The following is a 25967-nucleotide window of genomic DNA, read 5'->3' as shown; positions in this document are numbered from 1 at the left end:
GGAATAAACTCTCCTCTGGCGTGAAATGAACTCATACTTCCCTGGTACCTACGTATATTGGCAAATTAGCTGTTCCAGGGCGTGAGAGCTGGGAAAAGGGTTCAGCCACCCAGGAGAAATTGTTCTCTCCTCCCTAGCAGTGCTGCCATTGGAAAGAACCTGACTGATCAGGAGGCACTGGGCTTGAGCGGCTTTGAAAGCAAACAAACTTACTGTTGTCTGCAGATGGTAATTTCTTGGTTCTGTTAATTCTGTTGGGGAATGGGGTCCCTTTAGATTTCTATCAGGTGTTAACAAGAGGTAAATGATACGAAAGATCATCTTGGTTTCCCAGACTGAATGGTTTTAAAAGCCTTTTCTGGTGTAAAAGCATTTGAAGGGAAAAAAAATATTGTGGGAAAATGTAATGCCACCCTTTCTTAGCTAAAACAGCTTCATATAAGCAAGTTGTCCGTCAGGAATGAATACATCACAGTAGCATGGACGACAGCGGGTCTATTTGAGACCAGAGCTTGTCGGGGAGGCTGCAGTCCCCTTTGACACACAGCCAGCACTTTCTTCAGCAACTGTATAGAAAGCCTTTTCTGTCGCGGGTATTATTGATCTTCTTAAGGGAGCATAACTCATGCTCTCCACTTTGCATTTACAGGGTGAGCAAATCAGATAGACATTTTCGAAAAGGGCTTTCAAGTACTTCTAAATTAGGCTGGCCATTTAATTTACATATCTCAGATATAAAAGTCTCCATTGTTTGGAATGCATGTGTTCGTGCATAGAAGTTGTTAACCCTGGAATAAAAGATGCCTGTCATAGCTTACATGTTGAACGCTTCCATGGCAAATTACCTATTTTCAGGAGCTGGCAGTATTTTCAGATATTTTCCATCTTAATTAAATCTTATGTTGTTTAGTTTAAAACTGCATTATTCTGTTGTTTCCTGACTTTTTAATGATCGCCATTCTAACTGGTGTGAGATGACATCTCATTGTGGTTTTGATTCGCATTTCTCTAATGAACAGTGATGATGAGCTTTTTTCCATGTGTCTTTTGGCTGCATAAATGTCTTCTTTTGAGAAGTGTCTGTTCATATCCTTCGCCCACTTGTTGATGGGGTTGTTTTTTTCTTGTAAATTTGTTTGAGTTCTTTTTTTTTTTTTTAAGTTTTAGGGTACATGTGCACAACGTGCAGGTTTGTTACATATGTATACATGTGCCATGTTGGTGTGCTGCACCCATTAACTCGTCATTTAGCATTAGGTATATCTCCTAATGCTATCCCTCCCCCTTCCCCCCACCCCATGATAGGCCCCGGTGTGTGATGTTCCCCTTCCTGTGTCCATGTGTTCTCATTGATCAATTCCCACCTATGAGTGAGAACATGCGGTGTTTGGTTTTTTGTCCTTGTGATAGTTTGCTGAGAATGATGGTCTCCAGCTTCATCCATGTCCCTACAAAGGACATGAACTCATCATTTTTTATGGCTGCATAGTATTCCACGGTGTATATGTGCCACATTTTCTTAATCCAGTCTATCATTGTTGGACATTTGGGTTGGTTCCAAGTCTTTGCTATTGTCAATAGTGCTGCAATAAACATACGTGTGCATGTGACTTTATAGCAGCATGATTTATAATCCTTTGCGTATATACCCAGTAATGGAATGGCTGGGTCAAATGGTATTTCTAGTTCTAGATCCCTGAGGAATCGCCACACCCACTTCCACAATGGTTGAACTAGTTTACAGTCCCACCAACAGTGTAAAAGTATTCCTATTTCTCCACATCCTCTCCAGCACCTGTTGTCTCCTGACTTTTTAATGATCGCCATTCTAACTGGTGTGAGATGGTATCTCATTGTGGTTTTGATTTGCATTTCTCTGATGGCCAGTGATGATGAGCATTTTTTCATGTGTTTTTTGGCTGCATAAATATCTTCTTTTGAGAAGTGTCTGTTCATATCCTTCACCCACTTTTTGATGGGGTTGTTTTTTTCTTGTAAATTTGTTTGAGTTCATTGTAGATTCTGGATATTAGCCCTTTGTCAGATGAGTAGGTTGCAAAAATTTTCTCCCATTCTGTAGGTTGCCTAGTCACTCTGATGGTGGTTTATTTTGCTGTGCAGAAGCTCTTGAGTTTAATTAGATCCCATTTGTCAATTTTGGCTTTTGTTGCCATTGCTTTTGGTGTTTTAGACATGAAGTCCTTGCCTATGCCTATGTCCTGAATGGTATTGCCTAGGTTTTCTTCTAGGGTTTTTATGGTTTCAGGTCTAACATGTAAGTCTTTAATCCATCTTGAATTAATTTTTGTATAAGGTGTAAGGAAGGGATCCAGTTTCAGCTTTCTACATATGGCTAGCCAGTTTTCCCAGCACCATTTATTAAATAGGGAATCCTTTCCCCATTTCTTGTTTTTGTCAAGTTTGTCAAAGATCAGATAGTTGTAGATATGCAGCATTATTTCTGAGGGCTCTGTTCTGTTCCATTGGTCTATATCTCTGTTTTGGTACCACTACCATGCTGTTTTGGTTACTGTAGCCTTATAGTATAGTTTGAAGTCAGGTAGCGTGATGCCTCCAGCTTTGTTCTTTTGGCTTAGGATTGACTTGGCAATGCAGGCTCTTTTTTGGTTCCATATGAACTTGAAAGTAGTTTTTTCCAATTCTGTGGAGAAAGTCATTGGTAGCTTGATGGGGACAGCATTGAATCTATAAATTACCTTGGGCAGTATGCCCATTTTCACGATATTGATTCTTCCTACCCATGAGCATGGAATGTTCTCCCATTTGTTTGTGTCCTCTTTTATTTCATTGAGCAGTGGTTTGTAGTTCTCCTTGAAGAGGTCCTTCACATCCCTTGTAAGTTGGATTCCTAGGTATTTTATTCTCTTTGAAGCAATTGTGAATGGGAGTTTACTCATGATTTGGCTCTCTGTTTGTCTGTTATTGGTGTATAAGAATGCTTGTGATTTTTGTACATTGATTTTGTATCCTGAGACTTTGCTGAAGTTGCTTATCAGCTTAAGAAGATTTTGGGCTGAGACAGTGGGGTTTTCTAGATATACAATCATGTCATCTGCAAACAGGGACAATTTGACTTCCTCTTTTCCTAATTGAATGCCCTTTATTTCTTTCTCCTGCCTGATTGCCCTGGCCAGAACTTCCAACACTATGTTGAATAGGAGTGGTGAGAGAGGGCATCCCTGTCTTGTGCCAGTTTTCAAAGGGAATGGTTCCAGTTTTTGCCCATTCAGTATGATATTGGCTGTGGGTTTGTCATACATAGCTCTTACTATTTTGAGATACATCCCATCAATACCTAATTTATTGAGAGTTTTTAGCATGAAGAGTTGTTGAATTTTGTCAAAGGCCTTTTCTGCATCTATTGAGATAATCATGTGGTTTTTGTCTTTGGTTCTGTTTATATGCTGGATTACGTTTATTCATTTTCGTATGTTGAACCAGCCTTGCATCCCAGGGATGAAGCCCACTTGATCATGGTGGATAAGCTTTTTGATGTGTTGCTGGATTCGGTTTGCCAGTATTTTATTGAGGATTTTTGCATCAGTGTTCATCAAGGATATTGGTCTAAAATTCTCTTTTTTGGTTGTTTCTCTACCTGGCTTTGGTATCAGGATGATGCTGGCCTCATAAAATGAGTTAGGGAGGATTCCCTCTTTTTCTATTGATTGGAATGGTTTCAGAAGGAATGGTACCAGCTCCTCCTTGTACCTCTGGTAGAATTCGGCTGTGAATCCATCTGGTCCTGGACTTTTTTTGGTTGGTAAGCTATTAATTATTGCCTCAATTTCAGCTCCTGTTATTGGTCTAGTCAGAGATTCAGCTTCTTCCTGGTTTAGTCTTGGGAGAGTGTTTGTGTCAAGGAATTTATCCATTTCTTCTAGATTTTCTAGTTTATTTGTGTATAGGTGTTTATAGTATTCTCTGATGGTAGTTTGTATTTCTGTGGGATCAGTGGTAATATCCCCTTTGTCATTTTTTATTGCGTCTATTTGATTCTTCTCTCTTTTCTTCTTTATTAGTCTTGTTAGCGGTCTATCAATTGTGTTGATCTTTTCAAAAAACCAGCTCCTGGATTCATTAATTTTTTGAAGGGTTTTTTGTGTCTCTATTTCCTTCAGTTCTGCTCTGATTTTAGTTATTTCTTGCCTTCTGCTAGCTTTTGAATGTGTTTGCTCTTGCTTCTCTAGTTCTTCTAATTGTGATGTTAGGGTGTCAATTTTAGATCTTTCCTGCTTTCTCTTGTGGGCATTTAGTGCTATAAATTTCCCTCTACACACTGCTTTGAATGTGTCCCAGAGATTCTGGTATATTGTGTCTTTGTTCTCACTGGTTTCAAAGAACATCTTTATTTCTGCCTTCATTTCGTTATGTACCTAGTAGTCATTTAGGAGCAGGTTGTTCAGTTTCCATGTAGTTGAGCGGTTTTGAGTGAGTTTCTTAATCCTGAGTTCTAGTTTGATTGCACTGTGGTCTGAGAGATAGTTTGTTATAATTTCTGTTCTTTTACATTTGCTGAGGAGAGCTTTACTTCCAACTATGTGGTCAATTTTGGAATAGGTGTGGTGTGATGCTGAAAAGAATGTATATTCTGTTGATTTGGGGTGGAGAGTTCTGTAGATGTCTATTAGATCTGCTTGGTGCAGAGCTGAGTTCAATTCCTGGGTATCCTTGTTGACTTTCTGTCTCGTTGATCTGTCTAATGTTGACAGTGGGGTGTTAAAGTCTCCCATTATTATTGTGTGGGAGTCTAAGTCTCTTTCTAGGTCACTAAGGACTTGCTTTATGAATCTGGGTGCTCCTGTATTGGGTGCATATATATTTAGGATAGTTAGTTCTTCTTGTTGAATTGATCCCTTTACCATTATGTAATGGCCTTGTCTCTTTTGATCTTTGTTGGTTTATAGTCTGTTTTATCTGAGACTAGGATTGCAACCCCTGCCTTTGTTTTGTTTTCCATTTGCTTGGTAGATCTTCCTCCATCCCTTTATTTTGAGCCTATGTGTGTCTCTGCACGTGAGATGGGTTTCCTGAATACAGCACACTGATGGGTCTTGACTCTTTATCCAATTTGCCAGTCTGTGCCTTTCAATTGGAGCATTTAGCCCATTTCCATTTAAGGTTAGTATTGTTATGTGTGAATTTGATCCTGTCATTATGATGTTAGCTGGTTATTTTGCTCATTAGTTGATGCAGTTTCTTCCTAGCCTTGAGTTCTTTCTAGATTCTGGATATTAGCCCTTTGTCAGATGAGTAGATTGTAAAAATTTTCTCCCATTCGGTAGGTTGCCTGTTCACTCTGATGGTAGTTTCTTTTGCTGTGCAGAAGCTCTTTAGTTTAAATAGATCCCATTTGTCAGTTTTAGCTTTTGTTGCCATTGCTTTTGGTGTTTTAGTCATGAAGTCCTTGCCCATGCCTGTGTCCTGAGTGGTATTCCCTAGGTTTTCTTCTAGGGTTTTTATGGTTTTAGGTCTAACATGTAAGTCTTTAATCCATCTTGAATTAATTTTTGTATAAGGTGTAAGGAAGGGGTCCAGTTTCAGCTTTCTACATATGGCTAGCCAGTTTTCCCAGCACCATTTATTAAATAGGGAATCCTTTCCCCATTTCTTGTTTTTGTCAGGTTTGTCAAAGATCAGATAGTTGTAGATGTGTGGCATTATTTCTGAGGGCTCTGTTCTGTTCCATTGGTCTATGTCTCTGTTTTGGTAGCAGTACCATGCTGTTTTGGTTACTGTAGCCTTGTAGTATAGTTTGAAGTCAGGTAGCGTGATGCCTCCAGCTTTGTTCTTTTGGCTTAGGATTGACTTGGCAATGCAGGCTCTTTTTTGGTTCCATATGAACTTGAAAGTAGTTTTTTCCAATTCTGTGAAGAAAGTCATTGGTAGCTTGATGGGGATGGCATTGAATCTATTTTAAAAAACTGTATTATTCTACAATTCAGTTAGAAACTAAAGAAAAAACATAGCCTCTTGATTATAAAAGCAAGAAGTAGAAAAAAAGGTTGCTAGTAGATTATATGTAGATTAATCAAAAAAATTTTAAATAAAATAATAACTTTTGTCATTAAAGAAAAAAACAAAGCCATGTGGGATGGCTTTCTCCCCCAAAGGGTTAAGCTCTAATAAACCGAAAGCATACAAATGGATGTTTGTGAATGTGTATATAGATAACTGTGTACATGCACAGAAACCTAAATTGCCATTAGTGGGAGTGACACAGTGAGTCATCCCCCAAGAACTTAGAAGATTGCCCTCTGAGAGTTCAGCTTGAAAATGAGTCCCTGAAACTACACAAAGGTAGATCAGGTGATCCTAAGTAATAGGATGGCTTTAAGAACCACAGGATTTCCTTGTAACCTGATTGGGTTATAAAAACATCTAAAGAAAAATTGGTCACCCAAGGAAGTATAGAAAAAAGAGTCACAGAGGCAAAAATTGGCAGTGTTCATCCCAACACTGTCCAGAGGAGGAGAAGCCTGAGCCAGAACCTTGGAAGACTGCTCTCACATTGGCAAGGACGTTTCTATTATGGGGAAGGATGCAGGGAACTATGGCCATGGTATATGGCTTTACTGGCAAGATCACCCTGATTCAGGAAATGGATGTATCAGGCTAGCCCAGCTTGATGCCATTACGTATTTGATTCAGCTCATGCTTCTTGTTCTGATTCCATGTTCACCAGTAACTTTCTAATTTTGGCTGAGCTTTCCATGGAGTTCTGCCAACAAGGAGAGCATGTACTGGTAGTATCAGCATGAGTCCCCTGACCTATGTGACATTTACATTGCTCATTGTAAACTAGTAAATTGGCCTTCTAGGATTGTACGTCAGTCTGGTGAGCTTTGGTAATGTGAGTCTGCCCCAAGGGATGGCTCTGCTTCAAAGTGCTGGTAAAATCAGGTTTCTATGCCAGCAAGGGTGACATAGGCTTTAGAGCAAGGGTGTCCAATCTTTTGGCTTCCCTGGGCCACATAAGAAGAAGAAGAATTGTCTTGGGCCACACATAAAATGCACTAACACTAATGATAGCTGAGGAGCTAAAACAAAATCACCAAAAAAATCTCATAATGTTTTAAGAAAAGTTTATGAATTTGTGTTGGGCCACGGGTTGTACAAGCTTGCTTTAGAGGGTAACCACTGAGGAAGCAGGGGGGACCGGGGCCCTGCCCCTTCCTGGAAAGGAAGATTGGGAGACTAGATTTGTGGCTCTTTCTCCCACTGTTTCAGTTTCTTTTTAGGCTAGGCACAGTGGCTCATGCCTGTAATCCCAGCACTCTGGGAGGCCAAAGCGGGCAGATCATGTGAGGCCAGGAGTTCACGACCAGCCTGACCAACATGGTGAAACCCCATCTCCACTAAAAATACAAAAATTAGCTGGGCCTGGTAGTACATGCCTGTAATCCCAGCTACTTGGGAGGCTGAGGCATGAGAATCATTTGAACTGAGAGGCAGAGGTTGCAGTGAGCCAGGATGGTGCCACTTACTCCAGCCTGGGTGACAGAGCAAGACTCCGTCTCAAAAAAAAAAAAAAAATCCTTTTAGTCGAGAGATTCATTTTGTTTTTAATTTCAAGTGATATTAAGTAGCATGTAAAATTTTTGTATTTATTGATGGAGGCAGGGGCTGAGCATGAGTTAAAGAAATTAAAACACTGCCCTGGAATGTGGTAAATTTAGTACTTGGAGCCCTCTTGGGAGAGAGCCAGCCTGCTTCTCTGGGTATCATCCCCAACGAGCTTTGTCTTCACATGTTTAAGCATAAATGTACTCATACACACAGTGCATCAATTATTTAGAGTGAAGTCTTTAGCACAGGTTATTATGGACCAGTGTTAACTAAGCTTGCATTTCTGGTATGAATTAGAAGACTTCAGAAATCAAAGCATAGCTCCATTACATAATAGTCTAGGCCTATCATTAATATGTCATGGATTTGGTTAAGAAAAGGGAAGCATCCTGGAATAGATGACTTCTAAGCTCACCTTCCAAACCCAAAATTATGAATAAATTTTTTCATTAAAAAGGGAAACTGAATAATCCACTAGTTGACATGAAATTAATAATTCATGAGTTTGCTGGTTACTCATACCACGTATTCATTCCAGTACATTCAGTTTCACAAATGGGTATTGAGTGCCAGCCAAGTGCAGGGTACTAGAAAGGATGTCCCACAGTTTGCAGACCAGAGCACTATGGCTGTGGTCACAGAAATTGCAGGATTGTTATAGACGGGACTGTGAAGTCCTATAGGAAAGGAGTGTTCTTTCTATATTGAACACAAAAAGTGATCCTGCTACCAGTTACACAATTTTTTTAGACTCTTTCAATCTGGTCCTCTTTTCACTGATTGTCAGTCTCCACAGAAAATGTCTAATTTCTACTTAATGACTACTGCTGTTGCTACAAAGCATTTGATATTGGCACTGCCCTCATAGAAATTTGTTTTGGGGAATCTTTATGGTGCTTCTGCCCATAGCCAGCCCACCGAGGCTCACCTCTGAAGAACTAGCTGGATACCCTGCTGCCACCATCTGCCATATCTGTTCAGAGCCTTCGTGCCAACTGTAACGAGTAACCTTTGAGTGTTGGTGGATGGCATGCTGAATGTTGTTTCTTTTTTCACATTGTGTGGCAGCCATGTCCGTGAGCGGGTGACCTGTATCTGACTTCTTCCCAATATGAGTCTCCAGGGGGAGAAAATCCTTTGGGATTCATAGATACTGTCTATAAAAACAGATGAAAATGCTGACTGCAACAACTATCAACATTTGTCATAATTTCCCTCCCTGGCAATATTCTGACTAGTCTTTTTAATGAACCGCTGCATCTCATCAACTTTATGTTGCTGGCTCTGCAATGCTGACACACATTTACTACACAGAACAAGTAGCAGGCACAACATGTGCCTTCCAAGAGAAAATAGTCCAGGAAAAACTTCTGTCTTCTGCATTATATTAAACGTCTTGTTTTAAAAGCATTTAATCTTCCTCTGGAAAATCTAACTGTATATCCTCATTTAGTTGGCTAGGACTTGTATGACTGTGCCACGTTGGAACCATTTCCAACAGGATGTAGTCATGTAAGGCTGGTGCTATGGACATATGAACCAAGCAATATAACCAATCAATGCAAGCAGTATCAACATATTGCTAGCATAGTGTCAAATGCCTATAACCCAGTGCGTTAGAATCACTCGGATCATTTGTTAAACATTAATATTTCTAGGCTTCAATTCATACTTATTAAAATATCTGGCCATAACACCTCAGATGCTCTGATAGGCAGCAAGCATAGGCGCCCCTGCTTAGGAGTGCATTTTTTCCCTTACCCAGATATTTTTTGAATGCATAATAAAGCTAGGAATTTTTTAAATGTGAAAGTTGATGCTAAAATGTACTTCCACCATTCTAGTAAATTCTTTGAGCTCATCATTTTTGAGTATCATCAGAAGCCCTGTAGATCAATTTGAGTGAGTATACCTAAACTCATCTTAGCAGAGTGGGCATGAGTAATCATGTAAGACATGCCTTTCTTACTGCATTTAGGACAAGAAAACTGTGTCCAAAGAGGTGACACATCAGATTTCTAAAGGTTAAAGAAGTGATTAGACCAGTATTTGAGAGTTGATAAATATCATAAGAAATACTTTCAATGGAATCCAAAATTTAGCTTCATAAGTTCATTAATACAAATTATTCCAACGGCCAAATCAGTCTCACCTTGGCCTATCCACCTATACTGATGGTGCTGAAGGTCACTAGGATACATCCTAATGTTTTTAATGTATATATTGATAAGTTATAGTTGTATATATTTATGAAGTACAAAGTGATGTTACAATTTCTTAATACAATATGGAATGATTAAATCAAGCTAATTAACCTATTTATCACCTCAAAAAAATGACATTTTTTTGTGACGAGGGCATCACAAAGATTTAAATCCTAAATTTGTAAGCTACAATCTCATGGTCTTACATCTTCTAAGTGAAATGCATGGGCTTTGTGACAGCTTCATTTCTCAGGGCGCAGTGACTCTTTACCTTTTCCCTCCAACTTTGAGAATGCATAACGAAAAATGTTTGCCAGAGTCTATTTTTTCACTCTTTTCTGTATATTTAAGTTAAACATTAGCTTTTAATGTGCCTTAATCTTAGTAGATATTGGCAATTTTTCTATGCAAAAATAACTTGCATTTATCTTTAGATCAAAGATGTTAAAAGCACTTTGTATTTTATGTAATTGTTTCAGCATTAAGTGGCTTAAATTAAAAGTCCGTTGGCTCCAAGGCCCTTGACTATTTTAATTATCTTTGCAAAGTACATCCACTACCATACCTAGATGGGTATTTTAGTAATGCTATGAAGTTGAATATCAGTAAAGCACAAATAAAACCAACCATAGTGAAATTTTGGGTAGAGAAGTGAGGGAAAAGTATGTAAACATCACACTGCATCAAGATGTATTAGAGAATATACTTTATCACAGAAGAAGAGGGGTTTTGTTAAAATATGCCTGCAGGTGAATCACAAGGGGCTTCTCCATGACAGACTAGTATCAATGACCTGATGAGTTTTAAAGAGCAGGGACAGTTCAGCTGATGAAAGATAACTTTTTTGTGCTCATGCTGCCCTTTTTCCCCTTAATGCTATGTCCAGACACACAGCACCAAGAAAGAATTCAGAAACAGAAGGACATCGCCTTTTGAATGCTTGCAGTTGCTGCTTTTTGTCATTCAAAATAACTTTCACTGGCCTAAGAATTAACATTGCCATTTTTGATGGAGGAATTAAAAGAAAATTGTCAGTTATGTAAAGGGGGAGCTTACCCAGTTTAGAAAGGAAGTCTCAATTGTCCATGTGCGATCTTGACAAATTTGGGAAACTTGAATCCCCAGGAGTGGATGTATCTTCTAGAAGGTGGAAACTGTGATAATACTATTATGTTTTGTGCCCTGAGTATAACTTGCGATGGTGGGTGCTCAGGAATTCTTGTCTCTGGCTTTAAAATATTATGTGTTGCATTATGTTTTTTTCTGAAAAGATAATGGGAGCTATGTGATTTTTTTTTCAGTTGCTATAGCTGTTTCCCTTTCAGTAAAATGGGGATAATAACACCTACTCCCTAAGATTTTGGTGAGGCTTTAAATTTTGGAAAATTCCTTGTATAATTAAATAGCAGCCTCATTACAATAACTTATTACTCAGACCACCATGGGAAGAGCAATTACAAGTGTAAGTGTGCAGTATGTAGTTTCACAATTAAGGATAATTGCTGTTCAGTCCCTCTGTAAATCTTTTAGTGAGTTAGTGAGTTTGTCTGGGGTGAAGGGTTGGGGGTAGAAGGCAGGAAGGAAAATGAACAGATGCAGTGTTGTGGAATTGACAAGAGCCTGTCAACTCTCTATAAGCATGTCGGTGGGGGCAGTGTCTTCCATGTATACTCAAGAGACATTGTCAGCTTCTGCCCATTTGTGAGGAAGAGGGTCAGTTGCACTGCATGTGACCTTGACCTCACCTTATGAGGCGAAAAGTGGCAGATGGGTGGAGTGGTAGCCAAAGTACGCACATGACTTGCTGAGAGCTGAAGGCCCTAGAAGTCTAAGGTCTCTGTCTCAGCCCAGAGATGCCCCTTTCCAGACCACAGCCTCCTCGAGTTCCCAGGGCCTGGACATTTTGTGGCACACACTCTGTTTCTTTATAGCTCACTCCCTGTAAAATAACAATGCAGCAGGGCCACTTTTTTTTTTTTTTTTTCATTTTTTCCTCCTCTGTCAGAAGAATAGCCTCTTTTTTAATGAAAATTTGTTCCCATTTATAAAAAAGTAACAAGATTTTTATAAACAATCCTGAGGTATATAAAAAAGGAAAAAAAAAATCTTGAAGCTACAGAACCAGAGACAACTGCCTTGTCTTGACTTTGATACCTGCAAAACACTGCTTGTGCAAATCCGTGTTTTCCATAGCTGTGAATGGACTACATGGAAGTGACTTTGTGTCGTGCAACCTAAGCCTCAGAAATTGTTTCAAACTAGGAAGTTTTAGTGCATGTTTGATGACAGATCATTAAAAATATGTTATCTACAGGTTCTCCTCTTACAGTATACTTTATTAAATTTTCAGATGCTTACAGTAGTCAGCTTACTTCCTTGTACAAGTATACACTTTCTGTGTCTTAGTTACACCACATAATTTGAACAAGCAGATTAATTATGATATTGCGACCAATGTTCCATCAACATGAATTTTGCCTCTGTATTCTGCAAGTAGGCAGAAAGAATGCAATTATCAGGGAAGCCAGAACTGTTTAGATTCTGTATTATCTTAAAAGCAGCCTTTCCATAATAAATAAACTTTTCCCCAGAGAATGAAATATGTGTTTAGTCAAAGCCTTATGAATATATTATTTTTAAAAGAGAAAAGGTTAATCTGATTTAGCAAAATATATGTATATATACCTCCTTTCTTTTTTTCTTTTTTCTTTTTTTTTTGGCCAGGCCCTGATTACGTCAAACAGAGATTTCAGGAAGGTGTAGATGCTAAAGAAAATCCAGAAGAAAAGGTACCAGAAAAGCCACCTACACCAAAGGAGTCTCCTCATTTTTATCGCAAAGGCACGACACCCCCAAGATCTCCTGAGGCAAGTCCCAAACACAGCCACTCTCCTGCTTCCTCCCCAAAGCCCCTGAAGAAGCAAAACCCCAGCTCAGGGGCGAGACTCAACCAAGACAAAAGGAGTGTGGCTGATGAGCAGGTGACGGCCATTGTCAATAAGCCCTTGATGTCAAAGGCTCCCACGAAGGAGGCAGGAGCGGTTGTGCCCCAGTCCAAGTACTCTGGCCGCCACCACATCCCCAACCCCAGTAACGGGGAGCTGCATTCTCAGTATCACGGCTACTACGTGAAGCTGAACGCCCCCCAGCACCCTCCAGTAGACGTGGAGGACGGCGATGGATCCAGCCAGTCTTCCTCAGCACTGGTGCACAAGCCATCCGCTAACAAGTGGAGTCCCTCCAAATCTGTGACAAAACCAGTTGCCAAAGAAAGCAAAGCTGAGCCAAAAGCTAAGAAGTCTGAACTTGCTATACCAAAGAATCCAGCAAGCAACGATTCATGCCCTGCTTTGGAAAAAGAAGCCAATTCAGTAAGTACTGCAAGTAGCGTTTTCTCTTTCTTTCTTCCCTTTGTTTCTTTCAGCGAGCTGTGTGGGGTGACTGTGCATCTTGATCACAGCCAGGCTAACCAAGGTTCTAGAAGCACAGGGTTGTTTAGAGCAGCACATAACACATTGGTAGCTTGAGACAGCAAAGAGCTCTCTGGGCAGAAATTCCCCCCACCACCCCTATGTTCACCCAGCCCCACTTTAGATGTAATTCAGGTAGGTAAGACCTGACCAGCTTAGCACAGCATCTTAGCACATTTTAGCAAGGCTTTAACAGCGTGTCTTGGTGAGCTTCCTGGTAGCTTGCTCTCTGATTGCTGGAAAGGAATCATGACCCCTGCCAAGGGCCAGCCGCTCTCAGAGCTCTAGGAAAAGGGCACCAACAAGTTCTTAGTTCTCCTGTTTTCACCACAGCGGTCAGCATCTTTACACAAAAGAACGTCTCCTCTAGCCGTTGTGAATTCTTCTCATACATACGTAGTTTGGACTTTAATTAGCCAGGCTTTGCAGCTAGAACATTTTTCTTTCCCAAAAGAGAACTGAAAATTTCCAACAGTTCAAGAGAATTTCTTTGGTCTTCTGTCTTTTCAAAGTGTGAGAACTCTTACAATTTCAGTTTTCTGGTAGATGCAGGTTATTAGTATCAATTAGTCTTAAGCATTTAAGATATTTATTTATTATTCAGCCAGAAAAGCTCTGTGTTATTGAAAAATCTTTATACCTTCTTTAAAAGGAGATTTTTTGAATAATGTATGGAATTAGTGTTTTATCAAATGCTATAGTATTTATAAAATCTGAAGCTAATTATTGATTAAAAAATGACCTCTTGACCTGATCACATCCCTTTAGAACAGAGGTGTTGAAAGTTACACACCTAGTATTCACTAGAAATTATAGAGACATATTTGCATAATGGTGTGGATTAATATCTTGGCCAACAAGAATATAGTACAGCCATCAGTTTCTTATTTTTGTCTGTTTGATTTACTCACAGGATTAAACAATTAAAATTCCTCTGTTAACTTATGCTTAAAATTTCTTGTGTGTTTATTTTGCTAATATCTATAAAACACTGGTTCTCTTCTTTTTTCAAATTTTCAACTTTTTAATTAGCTAAACATAAATTATTCAGATTAACTGGACCAACTTCCTAGGAGTCCACCTGCATGGAGAAAAATTGTTTTCAAAACAGACTAACTTTAAGATTCTGACTCTTCAGTAAGCATTCATTTTAAAGATTTTAAACCTTAATATGACAGTATCTTGACATTACAACTATAATAATCACTATTGAATTTGTTAAATGTAATAGCTTACTTCTCATTTGACTTTCAGCATGTTTATCCCCAGGTTAATAAGGCCTCGCATATATCAGTGTTAGTTTGCCTGATTTACACAGGGAAAAATTCAAACAATGCAAGGCCATACCTTTTATACCTTTGGGTACCCATTTGTGGGCTTTAGTTGACTTCTAGACTTCTACAAGGGGAAGTGTATGCCCCAGCGTCCTATACATTAGGCTGTGATAGGGGGAAAAAAAAGTTGAATTACCCAGCTCTTAGCTGAAAGAGTCTCTCTGTAAAACAGTAGTATACGTATGTTTGGTAAATTCACAGCCTCCTCATTTAGAAAAAACATCTGTTTTACTTATTTGCGGAATTCTCAGATTCTTGGAGTTAGACAAGCATCCTCCATCTCAGTAGTTGGTCCTTAGGGTACCCCTCTACACCCCAAGGGGGAAGGGAAGCCCCAGCAGCTCCGCAGCTACCCTGAGCTTTAGACTGCCTCTGCAAAATTCAAGACCGACTTGACACCTTCACGCGAAGATTCTAATAATTAACATTGTCTTCCCAATAGTAACAGAACGCTGCCGTCCCCACTCCTCAGAGTTAGGAAGTGGCACAGTCATCATAAATGTTGTCAGTGGATGACCTTTAAGATAATGGAGTACTACATAGTTTTGAGAGAAAGACACTGTATAAGTTAGACATTCGTGAATAATTTTAAAATTCACAGAATTGAACTCTGTTGCTGAACTTCCTCGGTTCACATCCCAGCTCTGTTGCTTACCAGCTGTGTGACCCTGGACAGTTTCCTAACTGCTCTGTGCCTTGGTTTCCTCATCTGTACCTATCACAGGGTTGTTGTGAAGATTAAATGAGTCAATACTTTAAAAGTTCTTAGCATAGTGCCTAGCGCAGAATAAATGCTCAAAAAACCTTGGCTATTATGATGTTTGTTTCAACACAATGCTAACTGAAGCATAAGCAGTTCAGAAATATTCAAGTAGATCTGATCCATCCTCAGGATCACCCTGGCTATTGATCTCCTAGAAATACAGAAAATCTCCTGGGATGGAGACTAACACAGGAAATTAGTTAACTCGAGTATGAGAGGTAGGAGAAGGGAGGCTGTGGCATTGATTACTTTCTTGAGGAAGATTTTCCTCAAGAAACTTTTGTGACCCCTGTGGGCAATGGTTGCGTATGGACTCATGTCCTAGGGGCACGCATTCAATGTGATCCCGAAATTTTTGTAGAGTTTTGCAACATGACAACTCTGGTAGGGTCAGAAGAGGCATCTTTAGCGTCTTACCATCAAGTAGACAAGAGGGGAATTTTCCAATTAGGTATCTCAGCCCATTCTGAAAAATGACTACACTTTTTTCTCAGCCATTCCTGTGATTTGCATCCAAGTTTGTTTTGAGGTTCATCTAATCTTTCTTTTGAATTTGTGTAAAATTTAAAGCGTCCCCATCAAATTGGGTTTGAACCTCACCCCCGAAAGAGGTAAATATATATAATTAAACTTTGCTGTTAATACTTAATTAAACTTTGTTCTTCTCTTGTGTTTCTAGCTAGAGAAGCTTTAGATTTCACATAAACCATAGTAACTCTTCTAGCAGAAAATTCCTTACAGTTTTAAATATGAGTGACAATCTCTTAAAGGAAAAAAAGATAATTTTTTGAGTTAGGATTTCTTTCTGTATTTTGATTTCCTGTTTTTTATTTTCTTACCACCTGGAAAATTTCTTCCAATCAAGACTTACCCTGTGCCCTGCTACAGCTTCTTGTATTACACCTGTCCCAGTCAGTCTTGAAAAGCAAGACAGATTTTTTTTTCATTTTGCTATTTTAAGCTACAACTGGCCACCACAGTCGTATTTATGAGACTTTACCTTAAAGCTTTTCACCCCATATCCTGTGCCTAGGTATATAAAGAACACAGAGGCCAGGGCTTGGTATCTGCCACTGAACAGAGCATCCCGGATTTTTATTTTTCCCCTGGTTGCTGTTTGAAGCTTTCATGTCTAGTTTTCCCTCATCTTCACTGAGTCACCTTTAAAAATAGCTTTCTAAGTGGAGCCACCCTGGTAGGATAAATATATATGTGTGTGTATATTAGAACATATACAGGAGAAATATGTGTGTGTGTGTATGCGTGCAAAAGAAAAAAATATATATGTATGTATTTTTCATTTTGGATAAAGCACTCATTCACTATTCATTGAATCTGGATTGCCAGTACAGTGATATGTGGGCTAAAAACTAGAGAAAAGATAGTAATCTAAATTCAAACCAAAAGAATATACAAATTCAAAATACTCACTAATTCAAAGGGGTTAGATAAATTCACAGAATCTTATATGGATTTATGAAATGGGAGTTAAGGTTCAGGCACACCTTGGACTTTAGAAGTTGGCTTCATGGAAGGCACGTTCTCTGCTATTTCACTTTCCTGGGTCCACTGTAAGACACCAAAGTCTATGTTGTATTGTTCTGACCAGGTGTATTTTTCCTCACCTTTCATATCACTAAATTACCTTTGAAAATTATAAAATAAACCCAGTAGCCCAGAATAGTTGAAATGATCCAAAATTCTTAAAACACTCATGAACAAAATCTAATCTAAGTGTGTAGTAGTACAGGTGGAACATCCAGAATGCTCCAACATCTGGTCATGATGTGAAGTGAAAGAAGCCAGGCACAGAAAGACAAACTTTGCATGTTCTCATTTATTTGTGGGAGCTAAAAATTAAAGCGATCACACTCATGGAGATGGAGAGTAGAAGGATGGTTACCAGAGGCTGGATGGAAAGTGAAGACGTAGGGGAGAAGAGGGGATGTTTAATGGATACAAAAAAAAAAATAGAACAAATAAGATCTAGTATTTGATAGCACAACAGGGTGACTGTAGTTAATAATAATTTAATTGTACCTTTTAAAATAACTAAAAGAGAACTGGGCACGGTAGCCCACACCTGTAATCCCAACACTTTGGGAGGCTGAGGCGGATGGATCACTTGAGGTCAGGAGTTCAGGACCAGCCTGGCCAACATGGTGAAACCCCGTCTCTACCAAAAATATAAAAGTTAGCTGGGCATCGTAGTGAACACCTGTAGTCCCAGCTACTCGGGAGGCTGAGGCAGGAGAATCACTTGAAGCCAGGAGGCAGAGGTTACGGTGAGCCAAGATCGCGCCACTGCACTCCAGCCTGGGTGACAGAGCAAGACTCCACCTCAAAAAATAAAATAACTAAAAGAGTATAATTGGATTGTTTGGAACACAAAGAATAAATGCTTTAGGTGTTGGATACCTCATTACCCTGATGTGATTATTACACATTCTATGCTGGTATCAAAATATCACATATATACCATGTTACCCACAAAAATTAAAAATTTTTTAAATCTCCAGAATCTGAAACTTTTAGAGCACCAACATGATGCTCAAAGGAAATTCTCATTGCAGCATTTTAGAATTTTGTATTCGGGATGCTCAACCTGTACATCAGAAGAAAATCTGAAACCCCAAACACTTAGGGTCCCAAGTGTTTCAGATAAGGGATGCTTAGCCTGTAATAATATTTCCTTAATCTCTGTGCTCAGTTGTGACATTGAAAGATCGTCTCCACTATTTTCTGAGTTATAAGAGTTTTCTGCATTATTTCTATGCTCTAAATTAACCATAATTGAGGAGTTGCACAGGTTAGGACTCTCCTATCAATTTAGAATTACAACTATTCTAAAAGAGCAGTTGGTCGTTATCACAATTTGATGTTTTTCTGATACTGTGGAAATTATAGGATATAGAGGAAAATGTCATTTTAAAGGACTGAATGGGAAATTGCCTTTAAACTAAGGCCTGTATCTTTAATAGACATATAGAGAAAAGAGCATGGAGCTCTGAAGTGACCAGACTAAAGCTTAATTCGAGTTCCAATTTGTTCAAACTGGCTGAGGAAACTTGAGCAAGACACCTGTCCTCTTAAGCTCTGTAAAATGGAACTAATAATCACTTGTGAAGAATAAACAAAAAAAAAAATCTCAGAGATGTTTAACCCACTGCCCAGCATTATAAAAACCTGCAAAAAATGTTTATTTTCCTCCCATTTACTTGGGGTTTAGGAACTGATGCTTTTCTTCTGCCTAATAGTCCCCACTTAAAGGGGACTCATGTTTACTTCCTCTCCCTCCCCCATTTTACTCATCACCCTGTTTGTTCTTCATTTAATTCAGTGATTTAATCCATTTCGTTTAACAACCCACATTTGGGTCAGGCACTGTGGTACACGCCTGGAATCCCAGCACTTTGGGAGGCCAAGGTGGCAGGATCGCTTAAGGCCAGGAAGTTGAGACCAGCCTGGGCAACATAGTGAGACCTCATCTCTACAAAAAATACAAAAATTAACCAGGTTTGATAGCACGCACTGTTGGTCTCAGCTACTCAGGAAGCTGAAGTGGTAGGATAGCTTGAACCTGGGAGGTCAAGGCTGCGATGAGCTGAGATCACACCACTGCATTCCAGTCTGGGTGACAGAGCAAGAGCCTGTCTCAAAACAAAACAACCCACATCCACGGCACTTGGAAATGTGCTGGAAGATAGTAGAGTCTCATTAAATATTGGTTGCCTGAATGAATTGGGCAATGTCACGTGTCTGTGCACTGGGTACATAGCAGTGAATAAGACAAGGCCCCTGCCACTGTGGAGCTCAGAGTCTTGTGGGGGAAAATAGCAGTTAAACAACAAAGGATAATCAAGTGTGAAACGCCTTGTGATAGAGAAAGAGCAGGGCACTCTGACCTCTACCACGGAGATGTGGGCTCAGTCAGGGAAAGAGACCTTCTTGAGTCAATGATGTGTGACCCAAACCCTAGACCCGAATTGATTAGTGTTTGACCAATGACAGCTCCAATCTCCATTATTCACTTACCCCACACCCAAAAAACATCAATACTTTTGAGGCCTCTGTAACATTGTTTCAGTGTAGTCTTACCCAGTATCCAAATGGAGTACCACTGTTTCCTCTTCTGTAAAATGAGGACAATAAAACTACCTACCTCATAAAGCCAGTTTAGAATACTTTTAATGCTATATAAGAATTAGACATTATTTTAACAGTAAATACCACAATCATGTCTTTGTAATAAAGGTGGCTTCTTCATGGAGCAGATCTGAAAAGATGGGTTATATGAGGTTGGTTTGTTTAAACAAGTAAAAATTTGGGGCCCTTGGACAACTATCTGGTATTTATTATAATGATATTTATCAAAATAGGATCCCATAGTTTGTAAAATATAACTTCATTTCTGAAATGTTGTGGTTGTGATTAGAGAAATTTGAAAAGCTGGGCCTGTAAGATAACTTCTGAAAGTATCCAACTTCTCACTTACAGCTTTTACTTAACGGAAAGGGTGGTGTCCAAACAGAGGACCAGGGAAAAAGCAAGAGGTAGAGAACCTCGTTTTGAGTTTTCCCTGAATTGTTCCTTGGAGGTGGCTTTGTCCTACAGATTTTGCTCTCGTGTTCTAACTGCCCTGTGGAGGAAGCAGCTCTTCCTCATCTGAACTGCATTCTAACAACAAATGCACGTCTAACTCCCAGCCGTTCGTAGGCCCTGTTAGGGTGAGCTGTGTCTCAGCACACGCTGTTGTCCATTGTTTTGAGGTGAATGAAGTGGATCAGTTGTTTAAAACGTTTTTAAACTAATTCAAGCCTGGATTCATTTTTAAGTGAAGGTTCTGAAATGTCTCCATCTAAACATAGCATTGCCGTTTTTAGTCTACACCTTTCCGAACTGCTGTCATCTTTTATGCCTTATTTACTGCAATCATGTTAACTTTCTCATTTTTTCAGTAATTGGCTTTGGTAATATCTTGATATTAACATGGAGAAGTTATAGTTACTTTGTTCTCTTTCATTTTCAGGGCCCTAATTCAATCATGATTGTCCTTGTCATGCTGTTGAATATCGGGTTGGCCATTCTTTTTGTTCACTTTCTAACTTGATTGGAATTAGGAAAGGTAAGAATCGCCTTAATTTCTATCTAAAATCATAGTAAATAACATTCTTTTCTCATATGCAAATTTGCTATTTTTTTTAACAATGACGTATTGTCCTTCACTTTAATTTTGGCTATGCCTGAATGTGATTCAACATAGTTACTTAATTGCTATAACTGTTTTGACCCTTCAGTGAAGTCCTGACAACTAGTGGTGTGTTAGCCCACAGTTCTCTGCAGTGGTGCCGTCAGCCCTTTAAATGGCCCACCCCAGGCAGACTCAGACACAGGGAAGGAGGCTTGGAATTAGGATGGGATCGCGAGAGAGATGAAACTTGGAAAATTCAGCCAGAGGACCTGTTCGGTTCCCCTGGGAGTGCTTTGTGGCTTTGGGGTCCTCTGGGAGCTGAAGCACACGGCCATGTTGGAGAGCAAAACTTAATAATAATTCTTTTTTAAAATCTGCTGAAGCAGCCCCATCCGGCGAAGTTCTTGGCATTGGCTACTCCATCTGTCCTAGCAGAGTGTGACTAAACTGGAAATGTATGGAGCTGCATTTTTTTTTTTTTTTTGATGGAAGTCAACAGCTGCCTTACTATTTTACCATCTGACGTTTTTAGTAGGGAGCTGGGGAAACGACTGCCCGAGGAATGCGGTCGGAGGATTGTGTTGCTGTGGACGTGGTTCCAACATTCACTCCTATCTCATTAGAAGAAATAGGTAGCAGCATCACTCACCAGTCTTATGCCATGACCTGCTGCTTTAACATCTCCTGGAATGTTCTGGGAGAGAACGTTTCGTTTGCTTGTGCACGACTCTGTTCATTTTTGCTGTTTATTTAAATCTGACGTATAGTCATCTACCACCTGCGGTCCTGGCCGGACGAAACACACGTGTTGCATCTCAAGGAAAAGAAACAACAAAATGCTAGTGAAAATGTGCTTATTTTGATAGCAATATACCATCTTTTATGTCATTTATTCTTCCTATACTTGTAAAAGGTTATTTATCTTTAAAATTTAGCAATTTGAAGACACTATGCCTTCCTAAGAACTAATTTAATTCTAAATATTTTTAACATTACTGAGGTGAATTATTTATGCACTTAGGAAGTGCTAAATTTTAAAAGCTGAAACACAACAGAATTCTAAGAAATATAGTCCAAACGTTGCATGGATTGCAGTAATCAGTGTTTAAAGGATTCAGTTTCTTTGCTGACGTACTTTACAACCAAATAAAATCTTGTCGGTGGCTGTGTTAATTCCCATGAAAGTTAAGCAAGATGCTATTAATAAACTGCTCTGCTCTTTCTTGTTTTCTTTTTCCAACTTAAATTTCTGTTGAATACATTCAGGTAGAACATAAAGCCTTGTTCAATCACTGCCTCTCAGTTTTCTGCCTTTCCTGTTTTTCAAAGTCCTTTTGTAATTTCATTTCACATTTTAAAGGCTTAGACATTTTTATTTTAAATATGTGTCTTTTACAGTCTTTTGTCATTCTGACATTTCTGGATTTTTGCTGTTTTATAATTTACCCTTTGTTATTCAGAAGCATGCTTACTTATAGAAACTAAATGGTCTTTATAAAAGTAATTACTTAAAAAGAAATCAGGGGAAGAAAGATATCTATCTAATCTATTAAATCTTTATAAAACATTACATTGCAGAGGGGGAGCTACTCCTAAATATTTTCATGATTTGCATGGTTTAATCAGATTTTTTTTTTTTTTTACACCATATTAGCTACCTTTTCAATGGAGAAGAGACAGTTCACACAATTCCCTGGTTAGCACAGATGTGGACTGAGTGCTTTGTCACCTGCAGGGTAGTAACCCAGTGATGTTTCTTACAGAAGCACAATATGTTGAAAATCCTGGGTGTGACCAATATGGAATAAAGAAGAAGGCAGAAAGAGAGCAAATGAAAAATTTCAACTTGTATATTCATTTTTTACATTTTGCTTTGACTTTTAAATTTAGGAAGTCCGTTTTTACCTGAGAACAAATGTTTAAAGTTCCTGCGTCACTCTCAGTACTCTCACTGCCCCTCCCAAACCCTATAGCTCCTTACGCTGGGAAAGCTGGTTTTTTAAAAAAATAATAATAAAATATTTAATCTTATTAAGTGTTCATTTAAAATGCGTAATGCTTTGGAAATAATGGGTAACAGATAGCGAGAGGATATGTTTATAAAGTGAGCATGTTGGTCCCATTTATAAATATATGTATGATTTATAAGCTTTTTTAAAACAAAGCTCAAATTGTTGGTATTTTTCTAAAATGTGCACAGCTGTATTTTACATGAAGGCTCTTTCTAATGGGTTGTTATACTGTACTCAACATTTTGGACAGCACATGAAGTCTGCCAATGTACTTAATAAAACATGACTTTGTTTATTTAAAGTTTCTTGCTGTGAAAAAGAACTCCCTACCTGTGAGTTCCTTTATTTATAATTCTTGAAACCAAAATGTATAATGTACAGTTTTCACAACTGTATCTGCTCTAATAAAAAAAAGTTGGTTATTAATGAAGTTGGAGGTGTGTTTTCTTTGTGAGTAAATTACTGTCTTGAGTTATGTGGAATACTTTGGTGGTGGTGTTGAAAGAGATCTGCTGAAAAATTAACAGCAGAAATAGAAGGAAAAAATGCTCAAAGAAGCCATGTGCCAGAAGGTAGTTATACTGCTCCACCAATTGGTTTCTTTCATCCTGGGCCTTTCAAATAATTTTGCAAAATAAGGTTCATTGCTCTGCTTAATGCCTTCATTAATTGGATTAGTGCCTTATCCAGAGTTTAAAGACTGCTCTTATTTTTAAAGAAAACTTGAAGTAAATCTCCTTCCTACATGGGCACTTTTCAATTAATTAGAATTTTTTTACCATTGTGCCCCAAATAAATTAATATGTTGCTATGACCCCTGCTGCTTAGGTGCACTCCTGGAAGGTTAAGCACAACATGGGTTGAATAAACCTGCCACCACCGGGACTTCCAGCCACTGTGCTCCCTTTGAAGCCATCCAAGGTGCCGGCCTAAGCTGCTGGCTCGACACGTAGGCAAGCCACCTGTGCACTATGATAAAAGGACCATCTCCAAAACAGCTTCCCAGGGAGCTGCCATGGTGCTTTTAAATTCCCAAATTCATCACACCTGTTGAGGGCTAAGATATTAGAGCCCCTCATATAAATAATGCACAGAGTTATCGCCTGTAGGGCTAAACAGATTACTCAACTTCAGTAATTAGTCTCCTAGCAAATCCTAAAGGAAGAGAATACAGAACAGACTTTTGAAGCAGGGAAGGGAAGCACAAGGTGCTAGAGAGATTATTGATTTCAGATTCGTGTCCAAGCCACACATTTTGAGCGCTGATGCCAAAGCTAGGGTGAAGCTTGTGTGGTTGAGAAGTCTGGAAAATATTCTACATGCCCTTTTAATGCAATAACTGTTTCTCAAGAGCTGTGGCTAGCAAGCTCCCCAGGCGTACCCTCCCTGCCATTTGCAGCTCTCCTGCCATGCTTTGGAAAGTTACATAGCCTCATCTTCCCAACTTAATAGGTGGCTGTTGACGTGGCATATTCTGCCAGTACAGTGTAACGGTTCATCAGACTGCGTTTGATTGTTCCAGGTTTAAGAGTTATCTGTTCTGACATTTGCTGTCACCCCAAAGGTGCTAAAATGCAATGGCCTCTATAGGGGTCTGGTTTATAGGAATAGGAGAAAATAGCAAAGATAGAGAAGACAGTGAATACTGATGAAGGTAGTCAATATAGATGAAATTCTGGCTTTGGTCATGATTGACCGTGGATCCTTCTCTAATCCATGCCCCTGGTTTCCTCATTGGTAAAATGGGTGTAGTCATAGTCTAGCCTCACAGGGTGATGGTGAGAATGAAATGACATTATTGATGTTAAATGCTTACCATAGTGTCTGGCACATAGTAACTGCTTTGTATATGTTAGTTTTTTACTGACTGAAAGAAATAGGGATAAAATAATTCAATTCCTATTAGTGTCTCAGACACATTGAAAAATACAGTGAGACTCCATTCTAAGGGTCTTTTTATAGTGGTTAATTAGGTCATGGGTCATGGGATGTCCTTGCTTCAGTGGTGATGAGTGAGTCTTTCTCACTGGGAAAATTAAAGGCCCCACCTACACAGTTCCTGTCTATGCTAACAAGTGTTTCCCAGTATAGGAGAATATGAGACCTTTACTTTACAAAGAGCTTTCACATCAGTGTCTCATTGGATTCTTACAATCTCCCTGTGAAAGTTTTCCTGCAGTTAAATGACTTGCACAAGATCACATAGTCATAAAGTCATAAAAATCTGTATCAGAGTCCCAGATCTGACACTAAATCTTGTGCTTTTTCATTTCACATATTGGCTAGCACTATTGCACATTGCCACTCATCAGCCATGAAGATGTGATGGCGAATACCATGAAATCCAAGGTAGCAGTGCAGGTTGAATGAGCCCATTTCTATCCGTCATAAGCTCCTTAATGCCACTGAGTTAATAATAACTACAGCAGAGCCTTTTAAAAGTTCTGAATAGCATGTATTTACAATCCCGTTTCATCACTTTTAGCAAGATATTTGTATAGTAATATATTTAAACCTTATACTCAATATTACTAAAATTTAACATTTAATGGTGTTTTTGAAGAGGCATGTTATACATGAACTTGGTGTCTGTGTTTGAACTTGAGCTCAATAATTAACACAGAAGTTGCACATAATACCTAGAAGATGTAAAAAGGTTTGGACCAATGCTGTGGTATTCTTTTGATACCTTATGTCAATATTCCATAAAAGTTCCTTGGTATTCTCTTGAATCTGAAGTCTGATTTAGATAAGCCATAATGGAATTAACACGAAAGTGAGGCCCTGAAATTTGTTCAGCAGGTGGTTGATAAAGCTGTTTGCATACTTTGGTAAAGAGCATATCAATCCTTGAATGGAGGCAGAGATGAACGGAAGATCATCCCACTGATATACACATTCTTCCTTGTCCGCTGCCTCAGCCCAAGCGAACTTGTTCATAAAATGTGAAGAATGATATTGAACATGTGCAGTGGAATTCATGATGATATTTGCTTATGGGAAAACAGTGGAGGTCTTCAGTTTCAGGAATGTATATGCCACATCCTTGCCACTTACAACATCTACTTGGACGAAAAGAGTCATAAATATCACGTCATCTACACAATAAAAGCAGAAGCAAAGGTGAGGATAAGCCCAAGATTATCTAATTATTCTCTGGACATGATTATCTAATTATTTTCTGGACATATTTTAACAACTGCTTCCGACCAGTAGAGTGAGTACCTATCTAGAGTGCACATAGCTGCTTTGGAAGTTGATAAAGCCCAAGGAGGTGCTTAGACATAGAATTGCTGTAAAGCCAGCAGGTGGTGGAATCCATGACCTAAGAATTTCTACAGATGCATCATAAAAGCAGTTTTACATCAGATAATTGGGCCACATAAAAAGTCAAGATTGGAAACAT

The 25967-nt window shown here is 39.0% G+C and overlaps 1 protein-coding gene across 5 annotated transcripts in view, besides 1 other annotated feature; it reads left to right on the top strand.

Annotated features, from left to right (window-relative positions):
* The window catches only part of JPH1 (junctophilin 1), an 86841-nt gene extending 63850 nt beyond the window's left edge, over window positions 1–22991 (top strand). The window contains exons 4-6 of one of the 5 annotated variants that reach the window (NM_001317830.2): window positions 12516–13162; window positions 20388–20483; window positions 20936–22991. In NM_001317830.2, the coding sequence (NP_001304759.1) occupies window positions 12516–13162; window positions 20388–20468 (728 nt within the window). In that variant the 3' untranslated portion in view covers window positions 20469–20483; window positions 20936–22991. Of the gene's footprint in view, window positions 1–12515; window positions 13163–20387 lie in introns of all 5 variants that reach the window. The other 4 variants (NM_020647.4, NM_001363050.1, NM_001363051.1 and 1 more) reach the window with 4 other exon arrangements.
* Window positions 6150–6350: a silencer, noted in NCBI's record as "peak7074 fragment used in MPRA reporter construct". NCBI's record gives its function as "represses an SCP1 promoter by STARR-seq MPRAs in K562 erythroleukemia cells {active_cell/tissue: K562}" and the evidence as "EXISTENCE:reporter gene assay evidence [ECO:0000049][PMID:32103011]".

This window comes from Homo sapiens, chromosome 8 (assembly GCF_000001405.40).
Source record: "Homo sapiens chromosome 8, GRCh38.p14 Primary Assembly".
Classification (NCBI taxonomy): domain Eukaryota; kingdom Metazoa; phylum Chordata; class Mammalia; order Primates; family Hominidae; genus Homo; species Homo sapiens.
The sequence above is the reverse complement of the archived record's forward strand: the minus strand, read 5'-3'. Positions and strand labels throughout refer to the sequence as shown.